Source organism: Homo sapiens, chromosome 18, assembly GCF_000001405.40.
Source record: "Homo sapiens chromosome 18, GRCh38.p14 Primary Assembly".
In the NCBI taxonomy this organism is placed as follows: domain Eukaryota; kingdom Metazoa; phylum Chordata; class Mammalia; order Primates; family Hominidae; genus Homo; species Homo sapiens.
The window spans coordinates 14,389,986-14,398,951 of record NC_000018.10 but is presented as its reverse complement, the minus strand read 5'-3'; the positions used below and the strand labels follow the sequence as shown (position 1 = coordinate 14,398,951).

Below are 8,966 nucleotides of genomic sequence, written 5' to 3'. Positions count from 1 at the left end.
ATTTAGACACCAGGTGATGGATAATACTTCTGTCTGGATGCTCCCTCACCTTGTTTTGATTCTGACACCCCACGTGGGTCACCTACATGCATTGAAGCCCTTACTCAGTTGTGGCTTCAATCCAAATGAGGCAGCCTTCCTCTGTAGATGGAGGAATTAACCATTTTTCCCTATTCTAAAAATTAATCATTTCCCCAAAGAGCGTGGGTTTCTTTCGTGGAGAAATAGTGTTTGGATACAAAGGTCTAGAGGCTAGGTGTTCTACTAGGGTGTCATTGCTTCTAGATTCTTTCACTTTACAAAGCTAAGAAATACATATGCATATACCAAGCAAAGCATACCATAAGGGTAAAATGATGACTTTTTTGAGGTTGGAGGTCACTATCTCTCCATCCTGTCTTCCTTAGAGTATTTCCTTGAAATCTTAATAGGTCCAAATAACAGGTTTACGCTTTTGATTTTGCAATGGAAGAATGGGGACTTTCTGACCCTTGGAATTGTAAACAAATGCTTCCAAAACTTACTTGGGAGTTTTTCACAAGAGGACTATCTTAGGATGTAGCCCTTTGTCTCTTGAGGAGATGAGAAGTTATTCTTACTTCTGCTTTGCTAAATAAATTATGTGAAAGTCTGCCTATTCATTTTAGTCACTTTGTAGTACCTACATGCATAAAAATCTGACCATGTTCATGTAGTAATAAACTGTGTTCTCTTTTCTATGTTGGTTCAGGGAGGTCTTTGTTAGTGTTATTTTATTTCCAACAAACACACGGCCTATATTTCTGTATTGTTACTTTCTAGAGATGGATGACTTTGGATGGTCAAATATTGATAGAAAGGCACTAGTGAAACATAATTCAGAAAAAACACATTTACAGATCTGGTGACAAGAAATGAAGAAATTTTTCATGTTGAGCTCCAATTATCTCCGAAAGGTAGAAGGGAAGTCATTAGTTGAGAGTATACATGGCATTGGAGTTGGAAGTTTTGAGAAAAGTGGAGGCTTATAAAATTAAAATAGTTGTTTCCAATAAGATGAAATAGAACTGATTAAAGAACAAAGGAGACATGATTGCCGAGGAGTCTCTCAGATGAGTTCACGTTGATCATTGTAGTCTATTGTTTCACAAAAACTCATTCCAAAGCAAGCTGCATATTGGATTCACCTGGGATCTTTTAAGATATACCGATTCCTGGGTCCCACCTGCAGAGATTGTGTTGTAATCACTCAGGAGTCTGCATCAGCATCCAGATTTCAAAAGTTCCCCAAGTGATTCTAAAGCGTCCTGAAGATCAAGAACCATTGACCCAGATATAATGTTCATCACCTTTATTGTTTTCCACAAAAACCTACCCATGTAAAGCATTTGTGAGGATAGAAAAGTTTACTGAAAATTAGAAATTGAGAGTTGAATTGGCAAACAAATTTAGTCAAATTAAATTCTGAGTTTTAATGCTTTCCTATGGCCACCCCAAGAGTGTGGAACTCTCCTTGGGCCTTCACCCCATTGTCTCCAAACTCAAATCATTCCACTAACTCTTCTCCACCTTCCCAGTCTCTGCTTTCTGAATGCCACTTCCTAGTCTACCTGACTCTGGGAACTATCAGTTGGAGCAAAAGTAATTGCACTTTTTGCCATTAAAATTGATGTCAAAAACCACAAATTACTTTTGCACCAGCCTAATAAAACTTCTCACTCCATAACTCAGAGTGATTCAGCTCTCACTAACAACCTGGTGTTCTCCATTTTCCTTTAGCGTGGACTATAGCTATTCATCACTTTTGAAAATTTTTAAGAGGCAACATTCTTGCATGTGATCTGGTTTATAGAACCAGGATAAAAGGTCATTGTTGACTCCAAAGTTTCCCAGGCCCAGGATCTCCTCAGAAATATGTGGCAGAGACAGACCTGCAGGATAAAGACAAGATATGCAGTCTTTTCTCATTCACTCCATTGATAGCTAGTAACAGCCGACCATATCTCAGTTCAATGAAGGAAAAAAGATAGACAAATAGATACAGTAGAGTGTAGTCCATATAATGGCTTAGTATACATAGGAAGTACACAAGTACAGTAACATCTGGACAAACTAGAGGATGGGAGAAGAAGGGAATTGAGAGAGCATTGTAAGAAGTGAAGAACCCAGGGTTTGAGCTAGCCTCCTAAATCCACACATATAGAGTTGTAGAATTGGAGTACTACAAAGGATGTCAGAAATCGTCTAATCTAGTGACCCTTTGTTACAGACTAGAAAATAGAAATCTCATAGCCTAGGAGTTGAACTGAATTGCAGAAAGTCCCATAGCAAGTCAGGGGCAGCGCCAGGATTAAATTGGAATCGGGGTTCATTGACCACTGGCCCAGCGATACTCTCTCAACAGGTAACGAATTTCTAAGGTTCTATGAGCACAGCTACAGGAGGAATTAGGCCAGCAATAGGGTCGCTGGTGGCAGTAGAGGCCTAAACCTGCATGGCTTACACTTCTGTCTGCAAAGTGACTGACTCATTCCAGCCCTATCTGTGCACTCTGCAGTACCTCTGCTCAGAAGCTGCCAATGGGGGAAATGCTAGATAGATAATTTGGCTTGAGCATAGAGTGTGAGGGAAGGACACATACTGAAAATAGGAAGGAGAATGAGAAACCTGAATCAAGAACCAGCCTAACAAATATTAGGCCTTTGAATTATAAAGCAGGCATATGGTATGGCTTTAGAAAATTACAAGATCATAAAGATGAGCAAATAAGACTAGAAAATTATGACTTTGGGACCTTGTGTCTGAAGTAAATGAAGAGGCACTTTGGGGAGTGGCAGGCAATGAAAACACATCTACCACCTGAGGAGATGACTCACAGAAATTCAAAACAGCCTCTTTTTTTTAAGTCCAAGTCAAATATAGTCAAGTGAGGGAGGGTACATCATTCATTCTCAACTCACTGTGTTTAGTTTCTTAAAAGATGGCCGAATTGTAAAAAAAGTTTTTGAATGGGGCAGTTCTAGTGTCAGTTGTTCTCTCTTTTCCTTTTTTACTTACCCACTACTATAAACTACCGTAGATACATTCTTTACATTCAGTTAGTTAGTTTTACGTTTCCCAATTTCCACATTTGTAATTATAGCCTAGGAAGCTTCTTTGCTTGGAGAAAGATGTTCTTATATTAAAACATAAAACTCTTCCCAAGCATCCACTAGTTCATCCAGTAAGCAATTTCGTCATTACACACCAGAGGTCAGTATTGGATTATTAATTTACATGAGTGATTAATTTTTACTTTCCCAGTAATAAAGATGAGAAACAAAATACCAAAGATTATTACTATATTAGAGCTTTGGTGTTAGTTCCTTAAGCAAGTGTCATCTGTGCAGGCATGCACAGATCATGAATGGCTTAACAAAAATACAAAACAAAAAGAAAAAAGCCATCACAATGAAGGTGGCCTTTGTTCTTTAGGAAGACATTCATAACTCATTCCAGGCATATTAATTATGCAACTTTTACACAAAAGTTACTTTATATTGAGAAATGTTCACAACTAGCAGTATTAACAGACATGCTGGCAGTGAATTAAAAAGATAACAATAGTTTTTAGAGCCTCATTCAAATCCGCATATCTACAATAGTGTATCAATTTGGGATGGCCAAAGTTATAGATAATTTGGATAAATAAAATAGGGGCTCAGCAGTAAAATAATGACTGTATCTCCAAAAGCTTTAAGATTAAATGAAAAGAAGAAAAGACTAAAGGCAGATCAAGCTATCATGCTGACTACAGACATAGCAAAGGCTTTCCACAGAAAGAGAAAATAGATTAGTCTTGTTTTACTCTGGTCAACAAAGGGTAGAATTATAGAAATGGAGATTGCAGCTGCATATAGATAGAATTGTTAAGACTCATAGCTATTCCAACATCTTTGCTTAGGGGGCCATAGGGAGTGCCAACATCGAGTATCAGAACAAACTAGATGAATGCCAAAATCTCTTACATTCTAAGGTTATATGAGAAAGTGATTTTGATGCCAAAGAGTAAATATTCCACAAATTCCAAACCTCCTTCCAGGCATATATATTCGGGTGGCACCTGCTTTAAGAAGTCTCCCTTAATCTGAGAACACAGTTTGCTTGTGCTTCTAATACTTTGACCATATATTGTCTTTTGTCATCTTTTGACCATATTGTACATTTATGTATTATTTAGCTTTGTGTTGTTATGTCTTATCTAAAACCAAGGTTCTTCTTTTAGGAATACATGTTATTTTATCCTCTATGACACCTAGCACAATACAATGAAGTTAGTAGATACTCAGATAATATCTGTAGTCTGAACCTATTTCCTTATCTAAAAAGTAAGGAATAAAAACACCCATTTTACCTGCCTCACTGAGCTGTTTTGAAGATCAGATGAAATAATGTGCCTGAAAGCACTTTGAAAAGTATAAAATGTTATACAAATGTAAGGCATTCTAATTTCAGAGGGAGGTTTTTCTCAGTTATAACCTCCATGTCAGCTTGAATAAAGGAACATTTTTTAAAACTTAATCTGAAAAGAAACTTGTCCCTTCTGGGCACAAATTATAAAACTCCCCAAAAAATGTTTGTATATATTTTTGTTTGTTTGTTCCTAAATAGTATAATGAACTATGGTCTTTCAGGGAAAATGTTGCTCTGATACTAGTCACAATGTAGAAAATTGCCCTTATGTACTTTCAGGAAAGAATTGCAAACAAATGAGCTATTTTCTCTTCTCGAGTAAAGGGACTTCCCAAGCATGGGTGGCAGCTGTTCAAGTCCATCTGGTCAAGAATTCACTAAGATCATAATGTGAAAGTTGCTCAAGTGCAGATTTGCATGACAGCCTGCAAATGTTCCTTTGGAGACGAAATGGTTTCTCAGGTCAATAATCTGCATATTTAAAAGTCTCTAGGACACCCTAAGATGGCGGCGAGGGAGACCGTGAAGGTTGGCTCCCGCCTGTCTGGGCTGTGATCCTCTGTCTCCCCCTCCCCCTGCGGCCGGCTCATGGCCTGGCGCAGGCCCGAACCAAAGACCCCCGCACCGCCGTGTACAACGCCGCCCGTGACGGCAAGCTGCAGCTGCTCCAGAAGCTGCTCAGCGGCCGGAGCCGGGAGGAACTGGACGAGCTGACTGGCTAGGTGGCCGGCGGGGGGACGCCTCTGCTCATCGCCGCCTGCTACGGCCACCTGGACGTGGTGGAGTACCTGGTGGACCCGTGCGGCGCGAGCGTGGAGGCCGGTGGCTCGGTGCACTTCGATGGCGAGACCATGGAGGGTGCGCCGCCGCTGTGGGCGCGGACCACCTGGACGTGGTGGGGAGCCTGCTGCGCCGCGGGGCCTCGGTGAACCGCACCACGCGCACCAACTCCACGCCCCTCCGCGCCGCCTGCTTCGAGGGCCTCCTGGAGGTGGTGCGCTACCTGGTCGGCGAGCACCAGGCCAACCTGGAGTTGGCCAACCGGCACGGCCACACGTGCCTCATGATCTCGTGCTACAAGGGCCACCGTGAGATCGCCCGCTACCTGCTGGAGCAGGGCGCCCAGGTGAACTGGCGCAGCGCCAAGGGCAACACGGCCCTGCACAACTGTGCCGAGACCAGCAGCCTGGAGATCCTGCAGCTGCTGCTGGGGTGCAAGGCCAGCATGGAACGTGATAGCTACGGCATGACCCCGTTGCTCCCGGCCAGCGTGACGGGCCACACCAACATCGTGGAGTACCTCATCCAAGAGCAGCCCGGCCAGGAGCGGGTCACAGGGGTAGAGGCTCAGCCTGGGCTGCCCCAAGAAGGCTCCTCCACCAGCCAGGGGTGTACGCAGCCTCAGGGGGCTCCGTGCTGCATCTTCTCCCCTGAGGTACTGAACGGGGGAATCTTACCAAAGCTGCTGTCCCACCAGCTGGGAAGCTGCCGTGGAAGCCTTGAAATTGCTGGGATCTACGTATGTGGATAAGAAACGAGATCTGCTTGGGGCCCTTAAACACTGGAGGCGGGCCATGGAGCTGCGTCACCAGGGGGGTGAGTACCTGCCCAAACTGGAGCCCCCATAGCTGGTCCTGGCCTATGACTATTCCAGGGAGGTCAACACCACCGAGGAGCTGGAGGCGCTGATCACCGACCCCGATGAGATGCGTATGCAGGCCCTGTTGATCCGGGAGCGCATCCTCAGTCCCTCGCACCCCGACACTTCCTATTGTATCCGTTACAGGGGCGCCGTGTACGCCGACTCGGGCAATATCGAGTGCTACATCCGCTTGTGGAAGTATGCCCTGGACATGCAACAGAGCAACCTGGAGCCTCTGAGCCCCATGACCGCCAGCAGCTTCCTCTCCTTCGCCGAACTCTTCTCCTACGTGCTGCAGGACCGGGCTGCCAAAGGCAGCCTGGGCAGCCAGATCGGCTTTGCAGACCTCATGGGGGTCCTCACCAAAGGGGTCCGGGAAGTGGAATGGGCCCTGCAGCTGCTCAGGGAGCCTAGAGACTCGACCCAGTTCAACAAGGCGCTGGTCATCATCCTCCACCTGCTCTACCTGCTGGAGAAAGTGGAGTGCACCCCCAGCCAGGAGCACCTGAAGCACCAGACTATCTACCGCCGCTCAAGTGCGCACCCAAGGGCAAGAACGGCTTCACCCCTCTGCACATGGCTGTGGACAAGGACACCACAAACGTGGGCCGCTACTCCGTGGGCAGATTCCCCTCCTTGCACGTGGTCAAAGTGCTGTTCGACTGCGGGGCCGACCGGGACAGCAGGGATTTTGACAACAACACCCCGCTACACATAGCAGCCCAGAACAACTGCCCGGCCATCGTGAATGCCCTGATTGAAGCAGGGGCCCACATGGACGCCACCAACGCCTTCAAGAAGACGGCCTACACGCTGCTGGAAGAGAAGCTGCTGGCCAGGGGTACCATGCAGCCCTTCAGCTATGTGACCCTGCAGTGCCTTGCAGCCCAGGCCCTGGGTAAGAACAAGATCCCTTACAAGGGCTTCATCCCGGAAGATCTAGAGGCATTCATCGAACTGCACTGACCTGCCCAGAACATCTGCACCCTCACCTCTCCCCTCTCCTGCTGAGACGGGGGAAATCAGCCTGGGGTATAGCAGATGCTCGTTCTTGCCTCCTTCAGGCACCAATCAGGAGAAGGGTTCTGCCTCCCATCCCCTTTACCTGAAGACAGGCTCTGAGGTGTTAGCGAGCCTTTGGTGCTAGAAGCCTTCAGGGTCACATGCCAAGAGGACAGTCTTTCTCCGGGAGCCCACTGACTCAGAAATTCTGAGTTAGGAAAAGTCACAAGACCTTCCCCACATCCTGTCTGCCTGGGTTACGGAGGCCTTTGCCTTGTTACCTAGAGGCGGAGGGACTAAAGCCATTGCTTTCCTTCCCTGCTAGAAACACAGGAAGAAGTTGAGGATGGTCTGCCTTCCCTTGTCCTTTTACATGGCCAGGTAACTCCAGCGGCTGAATACAGTGTTAGGACTGGGGGCTCCCGAGATGAGAGTTTGAAAGTCAGGGAATGAAACCACCTCTCATTTCTTCCAGCATGATCACGACCTGCTCCTGTGCCACCGTAGTCCCTGGCAGACAGGCAGGGCTCTGCTCAGGGCAGCCTGCCACTTGCATAGCTTTTGGTTAGTTTGGTGTTCTGTTTATTTAATAAGTGGGAAGGTTGCAAGCATTGCACAGAAATTCTGAGATTTTACTGCCTTTTTTTTTTTTAAAGAAAGTTGTTTGTTGGACTCCATAAGTGAATTTCAAGCAGTGAGGATTTTGTAGTGCCTGAGATGGCTGAGGCCACAGGGAGTGAGCTGTATGTGTGAGGAAGTTGGTGAGCGAGATAAAAGTCCATGGTGTCGACCCCTAAAACATGGGTGACCATACATTTTTATACATCTCCACTCTACGGCCTTTTACAGGCCTTTCCAATTTTCCATTCTCATTGGAAAGAGAACTGTGCTTCCAAACAGAAATCAGGAGTGACCACAAAGCCTGACAACACTTTGCCACCCAGCAAGAACTGGCACAATTGGTTTGGGTCTGCATTGCCATAGTGCCTGAGTTAAAACTACAGGCCACTCCACCTTGCAAACCTCACGTGGCCTCTGATTTCATTGTGGGTGCATCCACAGGTGGCGCTAGCTCTTTTTTCAGCTGCTCCGAGGATTGGGACCCAAGTCATCATGAAAAAGGCCCAGGTACAGTCTTAATGTGAAAAATCCACTAGCTAAGACGTTGAGTGCCAAGACCAGCCTTCCAGCCAAGGTTTGGACAAAGTCTCAAGTTCCCATGACTCAGGGTAAGGTGCTGGGGCTGCCAGAGGACCTGCCCCAGCAAGATTTTTCTCAAGAGTGAGACTCCATCAGCCCGGGCAGACGGGAGCAGGTTCTTGGCCGGTGTAGACAGCAGCAAACAGCAGAAGGGAAGCCATTCTCACTACATCCTCCCTGCAGTAGCCACAGCCAGGCCCTTAGGAGGAGCAGCAACCGGGGGTGTCCAGAAACATCCTGTCCCTGGATGGAAACTAGGTCTCGTTTGGATTTTTTTTCTTTTTTTTTTTTTTTGCTGTGTTAGTTAGGAAATTATTTATTAATTTACAAGACAGGTTTTATCTCAGCCAAGGAGGGAAATGGCGTCCCTGTCCCTCCCAAAGCACAGAGCAGAGAAATGAGGCTGTTTACATCGCAAGTCTCTGCACTGGTGTTTAAGTCATTAAAAAGATATTTGAAAAAAAAAGTCTCTAAATACAGGTTTATGGAATAATTCATAACAGCTTTAAGGAACTATCATGGTACACTGGGAAAGTCACTCATATTGCAGGATAGATTTCTTCTGTTGGCTGGTGAGCATTTGTTAATAGTCGGCCTTGACTCTACCACAATTTTAGAAGTAGTTCTTTTATTTCTTTAAAAGCAACATTTTGGGACAAAATATTGTGAACAAATAAGGAATACGACTATA

At 45.7% G+C, this 8,966-nt stretch overlaps 1 pseudogene; it reads left to right on the top strand.

The window, feature by feature from the left end:
- Nucleotides 4,923–7,235, top strand: FEM1AP2 (fem-1 homolog A pseudogene 2; annotated as a pseudogene).